General features: G+C 39.8%; 1 long non-coding RNA gene across 2 annotated transcripts in view; it reads left to right on the forward strand.

The window, feature by feature from the left end:
• LINC02934 (long intergenic non-protein coding RNA 2934) overlaps nucleotides 1-24,612 on the forward strand; it is a 298,411-nt gene that overhangs the window by 202,255 nt on the left and 71,544 nt on the right. Inside the window, exon 3 of one of the 2 annotated variants that reach the window (NR_187141.1) lies at nucleotides 23,940-24,080. The exons of the other annotated variant lie outside the window; for it this stretch is intronic. This is a non-coding gene — a long non-coding RNA (long intergenic non-protein coding RNA 2934). The remainder of the gene's footprint in view (nucleotides 1-23,939; nucleotides 24,081-24,612) is intronic. 2 annotated transcript variants of the gene reach the window in all.

The raw sequence follows: 24,612 nt of genomic DNA on the forward strand, positions 1-24,612 counted from the left end.
AAGGGAAATGATGGCTGCAGGTTCTCTCAAATAGCCATAGGGGTACAATTTTCTAGGCCCTATAAAAATCCAGTCCCTGGACATCATTTGCGGATGCTGTGTTTACAGGGCAGCCTGTCTCTCTTCAGAACCTGGGGGCCAGAGAACACGATTGCCATTTGCAGAGGTGGGAAAGGCTCTATGAGTGTGTGTGTGTGTGTGTGTGTGTGTGTCGAGGATGGGGGGTGGTGGGGGAGGGTACCTGTAACAAGAGTAAGGACCACTGAGGACAGTGACTGGCTGGAATCGGTGTTCCATGAGGAATGAGATTTTTTTCTGTTTTATTTCATTCTTCATCCTCAATGCCCAGAACAGTGACCAGCATATGATGAGCACTCAATAAATATTTGATGAATGAAAGAAAGAAAGAATTAATGATCTTTTCTTTTTTCTATTCACCTCTTTGTTTATCCCCCCAAGTAATAATGAATAGTAGTCAGTTAAGTGTGGCTGGTTGACTGTCAGCACTGGTGTAAAACAAAAACAAAAAAACAAAAACAAAACTGCTAAAATTCTTTCTGGCTATACATTTTAGTATACTTAGGGTTGAAGATTTAGGCAAGAGAACATTCAGGGACTGATTTGGGATGATTTGTGAGGCAGAATAGAATGGGAGAAAGAATTCAGACTTGGGTTTGGAGCTGCAGTGTACCTGTTTCTTGCTCTGGGAACTTGGGTAAATTAATTAGGCTCTCTGATTCTTAGTTTCTTCATGTGTAAAATGGAATAATAATAGGTATTCTACAGGTTTTTATATTAGAGATTGTATAGGTAAAAGCTGCAGAGAATAGAGGGGTAGTAAATTATTATAATTATTAATAGTATATTATTACTGTACTATCAATACTATTATACTATGTAATATCATTATACTATTATAGTATAATAGTATCAACACTATTGTATATCATGTAATTGTATCAATACTATTATACTACATAATGTCATTACTTCTCTCCTTTTTCACACTCACTGCCCACCAAGGAATTAACTTCCTCTGGGCTACAGCATTTTGTAACAGAAACTGTCCAGGATTCTCTGGATTCTAGTTCTATCTCCACGGGTGGCTAACTGTATAACCCACAGCAAGTTGTTTAATTTTTGAACTTCACTTTTTGCATATGTAAAGTGAAGAAAATAATTATGCTGATTCTAACAGGTAGAGAGCATTCAACAAAGTAGAGCTATGCAAATGGTTACTTTGCAAAGTTTGTATAACCCTGGGATATTTAATGTGAAGCTACTTGGTCAACTGTTAAATATCATGCAAATGTGAGTTGTATGGTTCAGTTCATTTCAGCCAACACATTTTTATTGACTATCTACTATGTACCAGATGCTGTGCTAAGTGCAGTGTTAGGTACAGAGAAATAAGGCAGGACACCTATTTCTGAGGTGCTCTTAATCTGGTGGAGGAGATAATCACATAAACAGAGCACAGTTATCCCTGTGATAGTGAAGTTCACGTTTGTTCTCTTTGTTCACTGTTCCATGCTGGCACCTCAAAGAAAGCATCTTGTGGAGATGGAAGTGGGGACACCTGGTATGGGGTTTCACCCTCCTCTTGCATTTGTACGGAGTCAGCAGTAGGTTGTGCTGCCTTGTTTCTTGGATGGCAATAGAATCATTGTAGGATACTCATGTGAAGTCAACACCTTCACCATCTCATGTCTTTGCTTGGGAACCTGACAGTGAACCGTGATCTCTTCTTGAAAGTCTCCCAATAGTCTTTGCTTCCACCATGATGTCATGGGGAGATTACTCTGAAAGAACTCCAATATGGCCTATGATAAATGGATGAAGAGTGCTTTAGGGAGAGAGTCCATATCTTCTCCATTTATAAGTCCTTAGCACCAAATACATGTACGCCAAGGGCTAGAATTCACAACTATTTGTTGAATGAATAAGTGATAGAAACTGAATTGACTCATCCTCTCCAGAATTCCCACTCTCCAAAACCTTTCCACTTTGCCTTCTAGAATCCCCCTTTAGGGATAAGTTCTTTCTTTTATATTCTCAATCTCTTCCCTAAACTGGCATCCGCTTTCTAATCCAGCTAAAAAACCCAGGTTTCCCCTGAACACATGGCTTTCTGCAGCTAGTTTCCACCACCCTCACATGACAGGACTCTGGTCTGGGAGGTACTTTGGCGATGACACTTCCATTATCATTTTATATACAAAATTGCCTTTTCTTCTCTGACAATTATGCCATTCAATTAAACTGCCCTCTGCCTCTCCTTGTTGTAATATTTCACCTTCTGCATGATTCTTTCTGTTTCACTGAAGGCTTCTTTAGTCTTCTCTATCCCCAAGCCAAGATCTTCCATCATCCACAGTGAAAACATCATCTGCGTGATGACCCATTAATACCCTGGCCACTCAGTTCCTTTATCACTTCAGCTCCTAATTTTAGCCTCTTCTTGGTTTTGTCTATGTATCCCATGGTTTTCTCTGATCTTGGTGTCACCCACTGCTGTTTTGCTGATGAAACCACTGCCATGTTACAATCTAACCATGTCTTCCTCTCCATCTGGGGCTCTCAGAGTCCTTGTTATTCAGGTGGCTTAGCATTTTCCAGTCCTCCAGCTCTCTAGTTTCTCTTATCTTCACTTTCTTCCCTAATCATCCTAGTCTCATGGTCCATTTAAAACCACTCTGTTGCAAGCCTCTTCAACTCCTTGGGTTCAATATACTTTGATCACATAGGCTAAGTAAAACTCTCAATTGTGAATTCTCACTATCTGTCATCTCCATGCCAGACTGCTGAGTAAATGGGCTGCCAAAAATTAAAGGTCTACAATCTCAGTGTGCTTGGCAGTTCTTTGTATTTTCCTAATCAGCTGTGTATCTCTTTATCCTATTTTTCATGACATTTATGACAAAGATCCTCCACCTAGCCAACCATCTCCTTCCTCTTAGTAGATGGCATTGTATCTGACTTCCCAGAGAAAATAGAAGGTGCAAGATAGTATCTCTCTATCTTCCTGCCACCAAATCGACTTATCTGCCTGTATCCATGCCTATCTTGCCCCTACCAAGCCAGCCTCCTCTCTGCTGAGGGAAATCTTTCTAAAATTCAAATATGACCACTTTGCTCCCTGCCCAATACTCCAGATCTAAAATGGTTCTTAGTGATCTAGCTCCTGTTTGCCCTTCCAGCTTCATTTATGACTAACTCACTACCTATACCACAGCCTCTACTTTCTAACTGCACAGCTTTTGAAATTATTCATATGCTCTTACCTCCTGGCCATTGTATATGATATGCCTTCTGCCTAGTATTTTTTCCTCTCTTCCTCACCACCCGTGTGCAGCTAACTCCTACTCATCTTTGATGTTTCAAGTAAGATCTCACTTTCTCAAGAAACCTTTCTTGACTGCATCAAGCCACCAAGTATTATGTGCACTTCATCTGCTCCTCTTCTTCTGATTTCAGCACTTATTGTGTATTTTCATTGCCTGCTTGTCTTTCAAATTCAGTAAGATCCTTGAAGGCAAGGGCTGTTACTTACTTTCCTTTGTCTCCCTAGCATATAGAAGAGCACTTACTCCATGTGTGACACTCATTAAATATTTGCAGGACTAAGACTGAATGAATAAGATAATGTGTTAGCTATATCTGGAAAGATTGAAACTTGGAAGATAGCAGCATAAAGAACCATGGAAAGGACATACCTGGCGGAAGGAATTGACTGAGCAAGGTATCTTATGGGGCAATGTCTCAAGAGAGGGCAGAAATTTAATGAGATGGATGAATAGAAGCCTGGAGACTTTTTGAGATTTATAAGGTTTGAGTTTCTGGATGCCACTGAGCAGAATTAAACTAACATTTCAGTGGACCAACAACAGATGGTTGACTGGATTGATGAGTTGTCTAATTAATGGGTCAGTTCAGTGATATAGTACAATTGGCCAGGAACCTTAGATTATAAAACTCAGTGATGGTCCAACAAATGTCCCATCAATATTCTTAAAATAAGGAACAGTTAAGGAGTGGCAGAGTATTAAATCTCTCTCACCAAGTCTTTAATTCTGGAAAATTCTCAGTGATTGTCTCTTCATATTTAGCTTCTATGCCATTTCCTTCCTCCTTTTTGAAACTGGGATATTAGGGCAGAGATCTAAAAACATTTCTGTAAAGGGCTGGATAAATAGGCTGTGTCGCCCATTTAGTTCTTGTAGCAACTATTCAACCCTACCATTGTAGTTTAAAAGTAGTGATAGATCTACTCTCTCGGCTTTGAACTGCACCCCCCACCCCGCCCCCGCCCCCGTCTCTGTACAGGGGAGCTTCTTCTTTCTTTCTTCTCCCTTCTTTCTTGCCTATTAAACTCTCCCTCTCTGCTCCTTAAACCCACCCCAAAAAAAACAAAGTAGTGATAAACAATATGTAAACAGACCAACGTGGTTGTTTAAAGCAGACCAATGTGGTCATTTTATTTATGGTATTCATTATGAGACTAAAGTTTTATTTATGAATACCAAAATTGAATTTTCATATAATTTTCATGTGTCATAACATATTATTCTTTTGATTTTTTCCAACCATTAAAAACTGTAAAAACCACTTAGCTCACAGGCTGTACAAAAACAGGCAGAGGGCTGAGTTTGGCCTGTGAGCCATAGTTCACTAATCCCAGCATTAGAGCATCTCAATCTGTAACCTGTATTTCTTAGCTATTCTCTCCTATTGTTCCCTGGATTTCTCTGGGGTTTGTTCTGGATGAATTCCTCAATAATATCTTCCAGTTCCAGAATTCTACTCTTGATCTTGTCCAGTCTAGATTTTAACTTGCCTTACAAGTTTCTTTTATAATTTCTGTGACTTTATTTTTCATTTCCAAGATTTCTAATTGGTTCTTTTGCAGACTTACATGATCTTATATTATTTCTGCCTGTTCTTGTTTCACAGTTTGTTGTCTCTGATTTTTGTGTGCGTGTGCATTTTTGAGACAGAGTCTTGCTCTGTCACCCAGGCTGGAATGCAGTGGCATGATTATAGCTTACTGCAGCCTAAACCTCCCGGACTCAGGCGATCCTCCCACCTCAGCCTCTCAAGCAGCTGGGACTACAGGCATACACCACCATGCCCGGCTAAGTTTTGTATTTTTTGTAGAGATGTTGCCTAGGCTGGTCTCAAACTCCTGGGCTCAAGCAGTCTACCTGCCTTGGCCTCCCAGAGTGCTAGGATTATAGTCATGAGCCACCATGCCTAGCCTTTTTTCTCTTAAATAAAGGCTATTACTTCGTTTTTAATTGAGTACTTTAAATACGCTTATTTTAAAGTCTTTGTTATGCTGTTCTATAAAATCAATTTTATCTGGCATGAATTCATACTCCTATTGCTAATTTTTAGCTACTTTTCTTAGCACTAGATTATCTAATATATTTTGGAATTTTGTTATAGAGACTCATTTTGAGTGGGCTCCTCCCCCTCCCCTCCCCTCCCTACCACAGACACAGAGACACACACACACACACACACTCACACATACACACTTCTCTCCCTTAGTGATCACCTCTCCTTGTCTAGTGGGTTTGTGGCCTCCGCCTTACCCTCCTCCGTCTGCCCTAAATTTAGGATCAGATCTTGTAATAACAGCATTTTAGTCTTCTCCTTAAGATAATATTAAGAGTGTGGCAAAGCCAGGCACTAAGCCAGTGGATGGATGGCTTAGCTCCTTTCTTGTTTGTGAAGCTGATTATATCTCTGCCTAGCTCCATGGGCCCATATCCCTAATGCTAGGCACAATGTGGTGGTAGTGTCCCTCCCCGACTTTCAGTTTCATTTTGTCTACAGGGCAGCCTCACACTAGTCCCTAGCTTCAACCTCTCATTTAATATGGAGCTGGGTTCCTGGCTCTGATGCTTGCTTCCAGACCTGGAACCCTGTTGGCCAGTTGCTATAGCCAAGCCCACCACTTTGCATTTCTGGCCCAAGAATGTTTATCCTACTACTGAGCTCAGTTATGTCTTTGGATGATTTCTGAAGATTTGGAGAGAGGGATTGCATCAAAGTTTCTCACTCTGTATCATCTTGACCAGAAAAAAATTACTGGTTTAACTGCCAGAACGTAAGCAACTTGAGTGTAGAGCATCTGTCTATCCTCTTGGCCACTATATTGCTGGTATTAAGCATAGAATAGCTACTAAATTAATGTTTCTATAATAGATGACAAAGAAATAATATAGATAATTAATGAACAATCTAGATATGTATTAAAATCAAATCTTATTCTTTATGCAAGTTGCATTTTTTTAATGACAAGCATAATTAGGACCATACTTACTCATCCATTTATCCCATGTATTCAGTGCTTGCAGGAGATATTTGTGGAAGTAGGGCAAGCCCATGTATTCATAAGTTACTCTTCTGCTTCCTATTAGCATTAGTCTTTGCACCTGTGAGAAAAATAAATAGAACAATGTAAATTTAAAAAATGCCAATTATCACTTTCATTACAACATTATTATGCTACCAGTAAGGTAAAAATAAAGGGAGTTGACGCAATGACAGAGGCATTTCTTGATGTTCAATTACCTGCTCTTGCCATATTAGAGGCATGCATCAAGACCTTAAGTGAAGTTCTATCATTTCTGTGCTTTATAAAGTTGCTTCCTGTTTTAGTTCAAAAGCATTTATGTAACATGCATAACCAGGTCTTGAACCCCATGTCAAGACCTCTGTGAGTGTAGCAGTCCTAACTGTCTACTTGGGTAAATGGTCTCCAACTATCCCCATTGGCATACTAGCGTTGATGGATTCTAGAGACTAGAAGCCTGGTAGACTGGCAAGAGAAGACCGCATATTAAGTCTAAACCCTCTGTTCTCCCTTCTTTGTTTAATTTGGCAAGCTTACAGAAACAAATGGTTCTTCTGAATTCTACTCTTATTGGGTCCCAGAGAGTAAGGAGTTGCCACTTATGTTGAGAACTTCTCAACACATTGAGAGACAGCTGCATTTCTTGGGTAAGGGTTACAGTCTGTCTACTGTTTGTGTCTCTGTTAGGTGTGGGTGGAGCTTGTTAAGTCCATCACAGGGGAGATTTATCTAGCAGAGATGCAGCAAATATGTGTTAGGTATTATTATTAAGAGCTAGTTTGCTCCAATTCTAAGCCATGCTAAGTGCTGAAGAACAATTTATATTGCCAGCTACAATAGTAATATTGGGAGCTTACTGAGATGGCAGAGTAATCTTGTTAGCTATACTACTTTTCTATATTGAAAACATAAAGTACTCTGCATCAAATCATACAATCTACATTTTCCCTTTCTCTCTTTGATTATGAACTATTACTATGCTTTGCCATAAAATATGAAAGTTTTACATTTTGATAGTTTTTCAAACACTGATTTTACTTTCTGTGCAAATACTTCATATCTTTCCAGCATAATTATTTAGCAGCCTTTTCGGGTTAATTATTGTCATTAACAATATGAGTCCTATGAGGGAATATCAATTAAAATACGCACAGCTGAACTTTCAAATGAGTAAATAATTTAGTTTTGGAAAATGACTGGAAACAGCAGGGTAACAGTCAAAAGGGGAACAATTATTTTAATGCTTATTTGACAAATGAGTCATTTTTACAGCAAATTAGATTCTTATCATAGCACCCCTACTGGTTACCACAGGAAAGCTGTTAACATGAGTTTTTAAAATAAAAGCTGTTAAGTTATGCATGCAAAGTTAAGGAAATCATTTGTATGACGAAAAGGTGATTAGGATATGCATTGTTAGCTGATGGAATACTGCCACTGGGATCTAATTAGGGCCATAAATCAAGCAAAATGATGTGTGTATATAGGGCTTGAAACATCAGAGTGATGTGTGCCATTGACAGTGAGATGGATGACTTCCCCCACCTCTGACTTTCATGGCTGTCCTTGTCTTTGTGCTGGCCAGACCCTAAAGTCCTACTTGAAGTAGGATGGAGACTGAGCCATGGGAATTTCCCACTTGTAAAGGATGCCATGAAGGTCTCCAGGATGGACTGTCATTTCTTCCCATTAGGAAAAAGCTCAGGAAAACCAGAATGGTGGCCTTTAGGATAAATAGCTTTGAGATGAGTTCCAACTTGTGCTTTGTCAGCTTAACTTACTTTTTAAAATTTATTTTTGACTCAGTAATTTTTAGAAGGGAAGAAGAAAGGAAACAAGGATGAGAGAAAGAAGGATGAAGGAAGGAAGAAGGAAAGGAAGGAAGGAAAGAAGGAAGGAAAGAAGAAAGAAAGGAGAAAAGGAAGGAAGGAAAGAGGAAAGGAAAGAAGAAATGAAGGAAGGAAGGAGGGAAGGAAGGAAGAAAAAAGGCAGGCATTTACAGAACCCATGTATTATTTCCAAGATATAAATAGTACTTACTCTAGGCCTCATATCTTGAGTTCAACCCAGAGTTGAGGCAAAGCCTATCTGTAGAGTTTTTGGAGTTCTGAAAGTAGATGCACACATGCATCATTTTCTAGCTTTTGCTCATGTGTTTGAATTGCTTACCCCATCATGCCATGGACATCATTCTGTGTCAAAGATTGAAATCACTTTTCTCGACCTGTGTGGGAAGTTGAGTGGAGTAAATTGGACAGAGGCTGCCTACTAGTCATAAAAATCAGGCTCCAAGAAATGTTCTAGGGAATCAGACCCCCAGCCAAATTATCTAGGCCAATCCCAGACCTGTAGTGTCAGCATCACCACAGGACTTGTTAGGAATGCATTCTCAGGCCCACCCAGAACTACTGAGTCAGAATCTCTGGGGATGAGGCCCAGCCATCTGTGTTTTCACAGATTCTTTAGTTGATCCTGATGCATGCTCAAGTTTGAGAAGCACTGATCTAGGCTAGTCCCTGGAAGATCTAAACTGACACTAATTCTTTCAGATGATTATAAAAATTATTCCAAGAGCTCATCAGGACTTAAGTGCCCTTATGAGACATCAACCCTAATACACTTCACTTCCCTCTGCTGTTTACTGCTAACTATAGGTGTGACCATACATCTTTAGCTTAATGTTTCAGGGTCTAAACTTTTCATGGGGGAAACAAGGGAGGAAACTTTGCCTACAAGGAGGCAGAGTTTTGGACTGATTAACTTGCAACTCTGTTACAAGTTAAAAGTCCTTGATTTGTCATTTTGAGTATGGCTGGGAAGATTACAACACAGCAAGAATACATATCAAGAGACACTTTCATTACAGTTTTTTTGAACTCTCTAAAAATTGTCACTCTGACTTATTTCCCCCTTGTGAATTTTCTGTAGAGAGACCTTAACTTCAGGCTCTGATCTTTGCTTGGTAAACATCTACACTTCAAGTTTAAAGAGTTTACTTTCAAGGAGGACACACTTATATCAGCTTTTTGAGAGCTCTTAGCCTTGGAACTAAGTAGCTCTGTTCCTCCCTCCTCACATTGCCCCACCCAGTGGGATTTTGACTTCATCCCTTTCTCATCATTGAGAAATATGATGCTTGTGTCTGTCTTGAAATTCGGTCCAAATCACGTTCTTTTATTATGAGCTTTTTGCCTCCCACCTAATGCTAGACTTGAGTAGTTTCTGTTAACTATTTGGTGTTGACGGAATGAACTTCCCCACCCAATAATTTCACTAAACCAGTTCTGCAGAAGCTCCTGGCTCATTGAGATGGGGTTGAGAGATGGGGATGAGGGAATGGAGGGGTCAAGTGAGGTGTATAAAATTTTTAGCAGCTGCTAACCTGGGGGAGGCAGGGATGTAGGAGAGAAAAATTTATCAAGGCCCCAGCAGAAGAAGGTGGACATGGGGTAACATTTTGGAAATGCTTATTTCGGGGAGCAAAGTTTAGGAGTATCTAACTCATGTCTAATTTTGCCTTGAGGAAGGCCATGAAGATCATCTTTATTTGAGCTTCCAAGATGTGTCACTTCTCTCACATGACCTCTCTATAGCTACCACTATTTTCCCCAATGTCTTAAAAAGAAAAAAACAAACTATTTTTCAAAAGAATCAATGTGTTTCTAGTTAGCTAGCACAGCATCAGCTAGTCAAAGACTTTTATTTCACAGATGGGGAACTAGACAAAATGAAGGCCACATGGCTGGGCATAAACTAGGCTGTCTGACTCATGGCTCAGTGTATCACAGGGGCTTCCAGCACCTGGCAAGACCCCATGGTCACCATCTGTATTAGTCAGTGTTCTTCAGAGAAACAGAATCAATGGGATATAGAGAGATACATATTAGAAGAGATCTATTATAAGAATTGGCTCATGCAGTTATGGAGGCTAAGAAACCTCACAATCTGCTGTCTGCAAGCTGGAAAACCAGGAAAGTTGGTAGTGTCATTCAGTCTTAGCTGAATCCCAAAAACCTGAGAACCAGGAATGCCGATTTCTGAGGGCAGGAGGAGATGGGTATCCCAGCTCAAGCAGGGAAAGCAAATTCACCCTTCCTCCTGACTAGTCAGGTCCTGTTTAGTCACGTCCTCACTAGATTGGATGATGCCCACCTATATTGGTGAAAGGAATCTTCTTTACTCTGTCTGCTGATTAAAATGTTGATTTCTTCCAATCACCCTCACAGATATATTTAGAAATAATATTTTACCAGCTATCTAGGCATCCCTTAGCCCAGTCAAGTTGAAACACTGCACCTAACTATCACGCAATCATAGTAAGTATCATTTAGATGATTGAATCCCTAGAACAGCCCTAGAAGGTAGTTCTTACCACACAGAAGAGGGACTGAGGTTTAGCGATCTTATAGAACTCTCCCTTTGTCACACAGCTGGTGGATTATAGAGCCTGGACTTTGACACCCTCTAATGACCCTAAAGCCTGTTCATGGGACTGCGTCATTGTGTGTCCATGTGGATGATGGCTTCTAGATAAAATGAGCATCACAATTCGTTTTCTCAATTTTTCTGTTAATTTCTAGGCCTCATACTTTAGAATATATATGCTCGATCATGACTAGTAGAATGTGAAGGAACAGTTTTAAGGACAAGAGTTGTAGAAATTCATACAATTAAAGATTAGTCCAGTTAGAACTCCTTGTATGTACATAAATAAAGGTAATTTTAAAGACTCAGTTCTTCCTCATCCCCCAGGAGATTTTCCCCACAGAAAGGACCCTTAGAGGTTCCATGTTTCTACATTTGCAGAATTCTTCACTTACTCTGGCTTTCTTTGGAAGGGATCTGACATAGCCACATATATTTAGTATTTTACACAGGATCCTGCTTTGACAGGGAAGTCAGAATTCACAGATAATTCTGGTTTATGTTAAAACATGGACTACTGTTAGAATTGTGTTAATTTTCAGCACCCCAGGCAGACTGAACCACATCCACTCTAAAGACCTTGCAGACAGAGGTAGTGCTCTGGCAGCAGCTCAAGAAACCAATAAACACTGGGAGAGACATGATTTGGATTTGAGGAAGCCATTCAAGCCTAGGGCCTTAGAGTGGCCATGAGAAGGACTGTGTCCCTCAGTGTCGTTCTGCTTCTTGGTTCTTGCTGTCAATTTCTGCTCAACTCAGGCCACACCTCCCCCATGGAGACTTCCAAGATCATATGAACACTATGACCAAAGTATTGGAATTCTTTTTTCCTTTTGTTTCTCCCCTTCCTCCTCTCCTTTCTTCCCTCCTCTCTTCCTTCCTCTCCTCCTTTCCTTCCTTCCTGCCTCCTCCCTTCCTTCCCTCCTCCTTTCCTTCCTTCTCTCCTTCCCTTCCTTCCCTTCCTTCCCTTCCTTTCTACTTCCCTTCCCCTTCTCCTTCCTTCCTTCCTTCCTTTCTTCCCTCCCTCCCTTCCCCTTCCTTCCTTCCCTCCTTCCTTCCTTCCCTCCCTTCTCCTTCCCCTTCCCCTTCTCCTTCTCCTTCCTTGCTTCCTTCCTTCCCTCCCTCCCTCCACCCTTCCTTCCTTCCCTCCTCCTTTCCTTCCTTCTCTCCTCCCTTCCTTCCTCTCTTCCCTCTCCCTTCCTACTGTCTTTCCTTTCCTTTTGCCCAGTTTCTGGTTTTGTCTCTTCTCTTTCTCTTTTTCCCGCTTTCTTAATTTCATTGGGCTTTCAAGAATTTCTTGTTTTTAAAATTCCACACTGAAGAAATAGTTTGTCCCTGCATAAACAGCCCCAGCGATGAGAGTTCAGCCCACGAGAAGTGGAGCTGTTGGTATGGGTCCACTAATGAACAGTTTAATTATGAGAGAACCCATTACACTAAGAGTGTCTCAGTGGTCCGGACGAGTGAATGCTGGCTGATGTTTGGAGTGAAGCAGACATGTCCACTGGGTGAGCCCCATCTGTAGTGGATGGTCTGTGTGTGTGACTTTCTGGAGCTTTACATTGGATGGTCTCTTTTAGATCCTGGAAATTATATTTATAAAACTTCCTAAACATTACTTTCATAATCCCAAACATGGTACATCCGTGTTCCCAGTGCTTTTTAGAACGATGATACCTAGAGTCAGTGTATGTCCCCTTCAGCTCTTAAATCACTTCTTTTTGGCACTTTCCCTTTCCCTCTCTTAGCCCTTTCTGGTTTTCAGCATTTTCATGTCCTAGCCAACCAGAACCTTCCCTGGCATCATTAGCCCTATTGCCCTTGCCGGTGTCTCCCAGTTAATCAAAACTTATCTGTCTTACTTTTTTGTCCTCAAAGTCCTACTGAGTAACTAAAACCAATATGACAAATCAATCACTATGCACTGTGAATGCCTGGTTGCCATTAATTAGCAACACACTACATTTTAAGGAACTGCTACAACAGATTCCTTGGCAATTCAAGAGTAAAGGGATTTTTCAGCATGCAAAAACCTTTATACAATTTCAGGATTATAGAGTATACCATCTGGGCTGCCATATTATTTTACCTAATTGCTAGGATTGACCTCAGTGACATGCTATTGTTTGCTGGTTTTGTTTCCTGCTGGATGGCACCTGTTTCAATGTAAGAGTCAAAGCAATTTCAATTCAGCCTTGTTGGAAAGATTTTTAAAGAACATCAGAGCAGCCTTTGAGGTAGCTGAAAACCTCCATGGAGGTTGGATGTTCATACTGGCAGTGCCCCTGGATTGGCCCCAGGGTTTCCAGTGTATATGACATTAGGATGGGTGAGGGTGCCCTTGATTTTCTGCTCTAGGAAAAGCAAGAGGTCATCCATTATGCTAATGTGTATGGCACCTCTTATTGATTTTGAGTATCAGTGGTTACATTCTCACATGTGGATTCGTGAGACATTTTAGAATTTGTAGCTAACAGGCATACTATGAGTATAGGGGCTAGGAATAGAAGCAGAATGAATATTAATTATTGAATACTGCAGAGGCCATTTCTTACCCTTTGCAGTCAATCAATCAATTAATCAAACAATCCACACATCTTGATAGAACACTCATTTCACAAAACTCAAGGTGATGTAAAGCCATGTGCATACTAGAAACAAGTGTCAGATACTGTTCTTATCCTCAAGGACCTCATAGTATGATGAGTACAGGAATTCCCAAACAAGTATGGTGTGAGGTGGGATTAAAAAGGCAATGGACACTCATTAGAATCACCAGATGTCTTAGTTTGTGTTGCTGTAAAAGAATACCTGCAGCTGGGTAATTCATAAAGAAAAGAGGTTTATTTAGTTCATGGTTCTGCAGGCTATACAAGAAGCATGACACTGGCATCTGTTCAGCTTCTGGTGAGGGCTTCTGTGCTATGTGAAAATAAGGTGGAGAAAGTCAAAGGGGAACAGGTACTCAGAAAGAGAAACTAAAAGCCGTGGGGTGTTCTGGCTTTATAACAACCCACTCTTGTGGGAACTAATTTATTTTGCTGAGAACCAATCCAGTCTCACAAGAATGAGAACTTACTCACTATTGTGAGAAAGCCCCCCAAACCCATTCAAGAGGGATCCATGCCCATGACCCAAAGGCCCCCACTAGATCCCACCATCTCAACATCACCACTCTGGGGATCAAATTTTGACATGAGATTTGGTGAGGACAAACAAACCACATCCAAAACACAGCACCTGAAGAGCTTTTTTCAGACTATAGCTGCCTTGGATAAAATCAACAGAAGCAAAGACTCCCTGACATCTTTACTCTGAAAGCACTTCTCAAGTAATTCTGATGCACACCTCTATTTAAGGCCCATGGGTGAATGACATAAGGTGCACAGTCACGTGAAAGGTTAAATAGCAACATGGATCATAGGACAGACTGCCTGGTGCTCTGTGAAGGTCAGTGAAAGCCCATGGATCCAACTGTCTGAAGGCCTTGGAGACAAGAGGTTTGAGTTGGACTTTGAAGGACAGGTAGGGGTAGGCTTCAAACAGAATCAAGATAGAAGAAATACATTTCTTCCTCTTTATTATTCATTATTATTTCTCAAATTTGTTGAGTCACTAAAATTGACATTTTATATTTTCAAAAAGGCAAATCCCCAGCTCTATCCCAGAGCAATAGGATCAAGTTTTCTCAAAGCAGATTCTGGGAAATTATATTTTAAACAACTGCCCAGGTAATTCCGGTAGTTAAGCAATTTTGCCAAGTACTGCCCTTTATCTTGACTGCAGGAATCTTATTAAGATTTTCAGATTGTGTCTGAGAAGCAGGACGTAAAGCAATATGGTATGAAGACTTCACTCAAGAGTGGTAGGGATCATCATGGGAGGATTATGAGGGCTTACAATATGAGAAGTCTTCCATGACAATTCATAAATTTTGAATTTTGTAGATACAAGAGTGCCTTTAAACTTTGAGCAAGGGAACGTCAAGATAATTTATTATTATGCGGTAGAGTTTGAGTGACTAGTCTGATAGAGACTCCAACTGAAGGGACGGGAAGCAGGAGAAAGAGGCTTGGATACCTCATATCAGTGTGCGAAGATATCTGCTTTAGTGTGGAGTGAAGAGCCCACAAAAGAACTGCAGATGTCCTAAGACACAGGATGGAACTCATAGGCAGAGGGTCAACAATGGAATAAGCACAGTTGCTTTCCTTTCCCATCCTGTGTAGAGCCCTACAGGGAACTGAGCACAGTTGGACACTCTATGGGTCATGCTCCAGGAGAGGAACTCTGATCTCTTGTTTCTTTCCCTTTTTATAGGGATTTTGGGAGTAGAGAGACCCTAACCAAGAGTCTGAGAATGGTTGAAGGTGCCCTGCTAGGGGCATCTTGGAGTTAATATCAGCTGCTTAGAGGAGTGACACACCTGTGTGAATAGCACCTGGAGACTTAGTGGCACGACGAAACTGTTGGGAACATGGGGAGCCACTGGGCTAGCTAGCTCTTTCAGGCAGTCCAGAAAGAGCCGCCAGGGATACCTAATTTTTTGCTCCTTGAGTAGCCACCCAAGTTTGGGAAGGGATGGTGGCTTGGGAATGGAGAGTATACTTTTTCTCTAGTACTTGTCCTTAATCCAAATGTTGTGCAGTTCTGTAAAGGAATAATCAAGAGAGAAAAATTTCCAGGAAATCATTTGATGAAAGTCCCTCTTCCGTCATGGGTATTTCTACAGTTGAGACAATTTCTGAGTGTTTTTAATTACAGGAGTCCACACCTTCAACTAAGCTACTCTTCAAATTCCTTCTCAGGCAAACTCCTCACTTTGTAAATAAACTTGTAGTCACGTTTACATGAAAGTATTTAATATATTGGTGTCATTTCTGAAGATGGCGGCAAAAGAAAATAGACAGGATCTTCTTCTGTCAGTTAGGATTGTGTTCAGTTGCATGCAGCAGAAAGCTGGATTTCAGTGGCTTAAACAAATTAGAAGTTTGATTTTCTCACTCAACAAGAAGGTCAGAAGTGAGTGACTGCTGAAGTTGATTCAGAGGTTCTACAGTGTGAAGGATTATATCTCTGAGGTCCACTTGGTTGGCCTTTCTCTTACGGTCTGCGGCAGGTCCAGCCATACGGTGGTGTTCAAGGCAGGAGTGGGTAAAGGGAGAGGAGACACATTGGCACTATGATCAGAAGAGTAAAAGCAGGAAGGAGCCTCCACCTCCCACATTGAGGGTCCCAACCCTCAGTCCAGACCTGGGCACACAGTCACCCTGCCTTCAGTGAAGGTTGAGGAAATGAGTTCTTTCTCTTTCCAGGCTTCATGGAGGGAAGTGGTAAGGAAGAAGAAATGCGAAATGACTTCTGAGTTGCCAAATATTAGTGTCTGCCTTACCAATCAGGCTCAATAAACTAGAGCCGCAATTCTCAACCTTGGCTGCACATTTGAATCAGCCAAGGGAGCTTTAAAAATCCTAAAGCATTAACCACACCCCAGACAAATTTCATTCCAGTCTCTGGGGTTGGGATACATGCCATTTTTAAAAGCTCCTTAGTGAGTGCAGTGTGCAGTGAAGATTGAGAACCTCTGGTCTAGCTCTCCCGCAAGGGTATTTTTTAACATGTTCTCCAGATAATATTGATGCAGGTGATCCCCTTTTGAAAAAACACTGTTAAACTCTCATTCACTGACAAATTTATTTATTTATTTATTTATTTATTCAGACATATGTACTGAATGCCTTCCACATTTATGGCTACTGGAGAAGAGTAGGAATGGATTTATGCTTTATGCTCTTCAATTACCTCCAATATCTTCAGATTGTATAGGGCTTTAAAATGAAAATAAAACACTTTTTTATGCACTATCTCATTTAAACTGCAGAGCAAGACTATGAGGCATTATGATTTCAGTTTAAGAGCTGAAGAAACTTGATACTTAAGGAGGCGGAGTGAGCTGCTCCAAGTCACTTAGCTTTGACTTTATGTGTGAAAGACGTGTCACTGGGAAAGGGGTTTTCAGACCCCACATTCGATGCTCTATCCACTGGAAGACAAAACCCATGCATATACTACAGCTAAGTCATTGCACAAACTGAAATATATTTTGCAAATGTACCCAAAGTTAATGAGGTAGAAATATGAAAGATAGCAAATCTTGATTGACCAAGTATTAGCTAAAAACAATGTTCTCAGTGCCATATTATATGCATTCACTCATTGGAATTTCATAACAAGTCTAGTGGAGAAGTATTTTATTTTCACTTTGCTCACAAGGAAACTGGATGTTTAATTACTTGTCCAAGGTCACAGTATTAGTAAGAAGAGAAGATAGGATTTGAACCCATGCATCTGGTTTCAAACCTTCACTCTTAACTCAGAGCTGCCTTGTACAGTTGAGCAGGTTTTTCACTGCCTAAAGAGGTTCAGCTTAGAGGGCTAGTGGGAACTGAAATTCAGCCCAAGCTCAGTTCACCAAGTCTCTACTCTGGCGCAGGTATATTTGCTATTACAGGAACAGTGTTTCTGTAATTCCCATGTAGGCAACCTGTGGACTATGTGATTTTCAGGCTTCACCATTACCTATGTTGCCATTCTGTACATGACTTGATTTCATTCATTCCTCAAGTTGCTCATCCACTGACTCATTCACAAATATCTATGGGGAGCTTTCAGGGTTTATGCCCAGTTCTAGGAAATCTTCAGGAGATGGTGACCAACACAGGCTCCAGGCCTTTCCTGCTTATAAATGTGCATCATACTCATTAGATTTTATTAGCCAATGGTCATAAATCACTATCTACACATAGCAAGAAATCAGAGAGTTCAGAATTATGATGAAAAGCAACAATCTCCCACCCTGCACCTGCACCCTCAGCCCTACCATGGAGGTTCCTTTGACTGTGGATTTAGACTTGCTAATTCATAAAACATCCTGTACCTCAAAGATGCTCTCAGTCTGTCTACCCAAGTCCTGTTTGGCCAAGGGAAATCAATGGGGTTTAATCAGAATGCATAGCTCTAGTTTCCCCTGTGCAGGCGGGGCCTCAGAAACTTTAAAAGAGTAAAATACACTATTACTTTCTATCTGTCTTTTTCTTCACCCTATCCTTCCCTCTCTTCTTTTCTCTATCGTTGCCGTATACTTTGCACCTAGGATGGTGTTGAGCACATGGTAGGCATTTAATAAACATTTGTGAATGAGTAGAAGAAGGAGTAAATGCGTGGCTAATTTTTGTAGCACCCAATGTTAAGACCGCTTTTCATATAGCTAATCTCATTCAATCTTAATAACAAGCTATGAACTTAATCGTATCACTAATTTGAATCCATCATATGTATATACGCAAATTGTGTTTCAATCACATAAAATAACTTTTCCAGATGGTAAAATGGTAGACAAGATGCCTGAACTGATCCTCCACTGAAAACAACAAAATATGCAGAATAAAATTTTAAGAAATATTTCTATAATTTTTCCATGAGCTTGCAAGAAAGTAAGGAATACTCAGACCAAAAATTGGGTGAAAATAGGAGCCCAGAGAGGTAGTAAAGTCCAGTTACTGACATGAGGTCACTTTTCTGGGTAAAACTGAGTGTAGTTTTTGAGGCCTCGTGGGGCTTAATAAGATTTGGAAGACAAAGCTCACGACCAACTAGAAGTAGGAATCTAATAGAAGACCCTCTGGAAAGCTGGGGCTCCGTGAGACTATACTCTCAGTGCCAGGATACATTAAAAATAAAACAACCTCTCAGTTCACTCAGGGGACCTCAAAACAAACTGTCACAAACCTTGGCACTGAACTAATAAGGGAAAAAATTTCTTTGAAAATCGATAACCATAAGCCATTTCTCATGAAGCTTTACAGATCAAATTGATATCACCTCAGTGGCCTAAAAACTCTCAAGCTGATGAAATTAAAAAAAAAAATTTCCAGTAGTGGTAATGTTTCCATTCACTGAGAGAACAAATATAAATCATTATTTGAAAATTTCATCTTAATTCTAGGGCTCAAAATTTTTTCACAGGTAAAATTCTGAGAGTAATTAGCTGTTTACAGTCAAAAATCATTAAGTAAAGTTTACAAAGAAGACATTAGCAAGAGCCAGCAGAAACAACAGATAGCACAACAAGACCTTTAAAAAACCTTCAGATTTTGGAAAGATCCACCACAGAATACAGAATAATATCTTTTATAAGATGAAATAAAATATTACTAAAGAGTAAGCAGATTGGTAAAAAGAATTTCTAGAAGTAAGAAATATAGTAATATTCTAATGACCATTTTACACTGAATGTCATCACCGACACATTTTTTATACCATTTCCATTATAAGGTCTTAATTTGTGTGAAACATTCTGTTGATACAATATTTGGTTAAGGCAACTCCATTTTTTTAGCTAACATTTCCATTTAGCTATAAATTCATACAAGAACACGACACTCTCCAACCATGGTGAGAACTTATGCATGGTCTCAGTTAATGACTTGATGATAGTTCCTGGGAGGTAATTCAGGGTGTGAATGTTTATTCACTTACAAGATGGTGGTAGTAATACCATCTTCACAGTTTTGTTCTGAGTAGAGTGCGGTGATTAAGACTTTGCATACTGGAGTCAGACCGACTGGGCTCATATTCTGTCTCTATTACTTACTAGCTGTGTGACCTTCAGCAAGTTTTAAAATCTCTCTGTGCCTTGGTTCCCTCATTTGCAAAAAAGGGGATAATGATAGTACATGCCTCACAATGCTGTTGAAGGGCCAAGTGAGATAATGAATAAAAAGTGCTTTGATGTAGTGATCACACAATAGAAGCTAATGGCTTTTGAGATTATATAGACTATGTAGTGCCTGGTACATAGAGGCAGTCCAAAAATGATATTCTGTTATATATTATTATTCTTAATCAGACATTGTTGGAATTCATTTTGTTAAGGATGTGTCTATTAATTTTAAGCTGGAAGGTTTCTTCCAGTTCAATTAGTCTAATTGTCTAACTTCACAGGCAAAAATACTCCAGAGAGGTTGAGTTTGTATCAGAAACAGCCTTCTTGGCTTCTAGATCTGTGGAAATGGCAATGAAGGAGAGGGAACAAAATGTAAGGATTTTATTGGTGGGTGAATCAAACCTTTATTTCTCTGCAATAAAAAGACAAATTTGTGTCTCAGTTGGGTTTTTCTCTTATGGGGGCAGGACTGTCAATGGGACTGGCTGGAATTGTGGGAAAGAGGCAGGGGTTTTAGAGGTGCTGAATATGTGAGCTGCTGTCAACTGGGAGTATGACTTAAATGTGGCTGGATATTGAGCCCAGTTCAAAGAATTGCAGGCAAGACTGGGCTTTGAGAAAAGATTAAACAGAAAGAAGAAGTTGATGAGAGACTGGGGAAAGGGAGGTAGAGGAGGAAGGGCGAGGTGGTGGAGAAAGAGAATGTAGAAGAGGAATAAAAAGGTTTAGACATTTTATATTAGATGAGGATTACCTCTGTAATTTATTAATATTTAAGTCATCCCATTTTCATTTTCTTCTAGCGGCTGAGCATATAGTTGTTTTGAGTTTGAATGGATTGTAAAATATATCCCAAAGCAATATGGAAAACTCCTCTATCATGACACAATTTAAGTCTCTGCTCAAAAAAATGATATAATTTTTTTTTTGTAGAAGATATCTGCTATGGTTAAGGGATATAAATGCCTCCAGAAAACAGTTTTTGAGGTTTTTGTTTTAAAAAAATATCACTAAGACAGTTCACAAGGCTGAGAGATCTAACCGTATTTTGCTAAGGTAGATGAGAGCTTTATGTAACTAATTAAGTCCTCTATAGAAATTAGTTTTAGCAAGTTCTGCCAGATGCCCTTATTGGATATGGCTGAATGGGGATTAGGAAAGTTAGGACAAAAATGAATAAAGTGAAAACTTAGCTACTTGTAGTTGTAGAGAAACAAAAAAAGCAAGCTTGCATACTCTCTATTGCCACATGAAAAAAAAAAGAAGAGGCTTTGAGCACTGAATTCATTCCATTAGCCTGGATGAGGTGCATAGAATATCTGTTAGTGGTACAGAAAGAGAATATATGGGTGTTAGCAAGACCCACAGGGCTATTTCAATTCAAAGAAACTCAGAAGTTTTCAACAAATTGCTGAGAAGGGATTTTGGTGCCAAGCTTAGCAATTCAGACAAGGCAATTTAAAAAAAGCTAAGAATTTGTGGAGAAGGTACTTAGTTGTACTTTAGATGTTCATTTCTTTAAAAGTTGATATAAAATATAATCTTTGTGATGATTCATTTAAACATGGCTATTCGTGTCTCACATATGGAAGACAATTTTCTTTCTACTTAGAATTTTCATTCTGAAGGAATTTATCTTAGAGGACAAGGAAATGTATTATTAGGTAACTGCAAGTGTAGCTATTTTTGATGTGTCCATGGTAGAGAAAATGAGTTAGTAAAGAGGCCTAATAAGTCTCTAAAGAGAAAGGTGTTAGTAGAGATCTACTTTTGAATGACAGGCAAAGCCAAAGTGTTTATTATTTAGATCAGGTGACTGTAGCAGGACTGCCACTTGGTGGCAGCATGCTTAAAATGTGCCTACAAATTTTTGAGGGGGGTGATGAATAAAGTTCTTTTAAAAGTTGAAACTGTGAAATAAAGGTTATGAAGTGACAAAAACATTGTAGCAGTAGTGCTTGGATGGCTTAAACACAGCCAAGAAAATATAAAGTATCTCTTGTACTACTAAGAAGGAACACAAGGCTGGAAGAGATTTCTTGCTATATTCTGTGTAGATCTTTAAATTGTGTCTGTTTACTTTGGGGTTTTGCCTCAAATTTTTAATTTTGCATATCTATAGGTCTTACATTTGAGTTACTTAAAAAGTTGTCACTTTTCTTCCTTTTTTAGAAGGGTAGGGAGAAAATAAAACTTGAGTTATGATTAATCAACCTTTTGTGGACCAGGGGAAATTATTCTCTCTTTTGGCACTTTAATCACTGAATAGCAGAATTTAAGTGAAGAAAAAACATGAATATTTACTTTACTTTCCTCTAGAGAAGAAAAATATTTCAATGTTGCTTGTTTTTGTTTGTTCTTAACGTGGAAATCCATGAGTTGAACTAAATAAACTATTAGCTTGTTTTAGGCTTAGCTCAAAGCATATTTTGTTGTTTCATACATTTCTGGTTCAATAATATGAGAAAAATATATAAGGTTAATACTGACTGAATCAATTTATGGCACTGGGCCTAAATTTGGTGAAAAAATATTTCAGTTGGTGACTTTACTGAAAATGTTAATATTTGTGTTTGCTGTATTTTATCCTAGCTTGTATTGTTAGTTTGGTAGACTTAAGTCCATTTTACGAAATAACATGAATGTTGAAAATATAAATATAGAGCCATAAAAACACCTTTAATTTACTATGTCCTGAAAAACATGATTTTAGTTTTGCTGGTATTTATCAGAATGTACTTAGTGCCTCTCAGCCTTTTTGTCCACTGTACCACGTGATGCATCTCCAAGTTTACCGGGCTCATTTAGTTCCTCCTCACCCTTTAATGAAGGTGAGCCTGAGGTGCAGAGTATCAGTGCCTGGCTCACAGACAGCCACCTCCTTCCTGGGGCAACAGGGTCGGGTTGACAAATTCTGTTCACAAATCAAGCGTGGAATTATTATCTAGAGCAAGTAGTTGGATGATGATTTGTTATGTCTTGAGAACCTACCATACCACGTAAGTATCTCACAATAGAGTAAAAACCTGAAAACTCTCTCATCTTCTGAGATCAAGACATGGTGCCTTAGTGACAAATGCCCTCTAAAATAGCAGGGAAAAATGATTATTTAAAGCCAATGCTGGCTTTGGCTTCTTCTGTCTTTTGTGTGTGGGGGGGGTGGCTTAATTCCCCTAGCTGAGCCTGATGGGGAGGCAGGAAGAGAGAGGCCTGGAGCAGATTTTACAGTATGTGCAGAGATTTGGGGTCTGACAGGGTCTGGCATGGGGCAGGGGCTACAGACAGTGGAGTTATTCTGCAAAACAAAATGAAAGGATTCTGGGGGTCACTAGAGATGGGGGGAGACTGGAAGGAGAGAGGAGAGTAAAGCATCATGACAGGGTGGCCAAAAAACCTTCAAGCAATGGGGATCTCACGTTCAGCTGTGTAATTTGCAACTCTGAGCTGTAAACATCCATTATCGCTACAGATCTTCAGTAAATTCTGCAATAGATACAAATTCTCTGTGTGCATGCTTTTTGGTTTTGTTTTTTTGTTTAAGCTTTGCGGAAATCAAGAACAGTGCTGAATTCCCTACCAGGGTCGATGCAAAGGGTAGAGAAGGGTTCAGCCATAGACTCAGGGCTGGTGTGATAGTGAGGGTGATCAGCTCACAGGAGAAGGCCCTCAGGCCAGCAGTGCCCATATAAACCCCAGGGAATGTGCAATCCAATCTTGGGGGTGGGAGTGGGGAGACAGGAAATAGAAGCCCTAAGCTTCAGGTTTCTCTCTCTGTGTGTGTGTGTGTGTGTGTGTGTGTGTGTGTGTTTGTGTGCGTGTAGATGGATGGATAGATATGGACAGAAAATTTCCACCAGTATGTGACTGTCACGTGTTAATTAAGAACCCTCACTGTCCTTAGCCCCATGTTAAGTACCGGTAATGGCATAAAAAGTATAATATAATACTTGGGCCTTTCCCTGAAGAGACCATGAGCCAAGATGAGAAAATTGATTTATCACATGTGATATGGTAGCAATATCGCTTTATATTTTCTTGTACAGTAAAAACAGAAAGTGCTGAAACAAAAACAGCTTGAAAAAAAATGGACACAGTACTATCTTTGTGGCTTTCCTCGAAGTAGAATTTGAGTCAGCAAAATGATGGAAAACTTTGTTCAGGGTCATGAATGAGGCTTTGCATCTCTGTAGGACTTGCCTTTTTGCCCGCATTTCCTTAACAAACTCTAGCAAAGAATAATCAGAATTAGCAATCATTTCAGACTGAAGAATGATGACTTAGAGTATCATCTGATACCAACCCAATGATAACAGAGTATCATCTGATACCAACTCAAGTGTATTGGTCACCTTGTTTGGTCAGTCTATGTCCGTGATTCTTAACAGAGGTGGCACCACCCTCTAAGGGACCTTTGGAATTTTGCAGGAACACTTTCTGGTTGTCACAGTGATCAGCAGCCAGGAGCAGCCTGCAATGTGAAGACAGTCCTGTGGGACAGTCCTAGGCTACAGGGAACTGTCCTGCATCCTGCATGTCTTATAAACATCCTACTGGACGTCGATGTTTGTAAGTGAGACATTTGTTCATGATTATATTTGAGTTGCTAACCAATATATCTGTATCACTGCATTTGTTGCTGTCACATCCTCAGCAGTTTGCTCTATGGGGCAAGCATCTGACAACCTCACTGTGTTTTCCTGGGTGGTTGTGTCCCAGCATTTACATGTTGAAATACATATATTTTTAGTATAAAGTACCGATCTTTACTTCTCCTTTATATTATAGCTAGAACATTATATTTAAATTTTTGAATTAGGTATATAGGTAGGTTATGTTATCTTTAAATTTTAGCTTATGATGGGAAGGAAGATGTTTCAAAATATTTGTTAAGAAAGGGGTTGCTACTGATATCTGTGACCAAGTTCACAGTGCCCTGGAGGCCACCACTCTCAGGCGAGAGGTTGCCAACAGATGGCTCCCAAGGCCAATTCAGCCTGTAGACATGCTTGGTGTGGGCTCCAGAATATTTTGAAAGGAATTCAGATGTGCTGCCAACATTCAGAACTAGAGATTCTTCAGAAAATGTCTGCATTTCTGA

Source organism: Homo sapiens, chromosome 2 (assembly GCF_000001405.40).
Source record: "Homo sapiens chromosome 2, GRCh38.p14 Primary Assembly".
NCBI classification, from domain to species: Eukaryota; Metazoa; Chordata; class Mammalia; order Primates; family Hominidae; genus Homo; species Homo sapiens.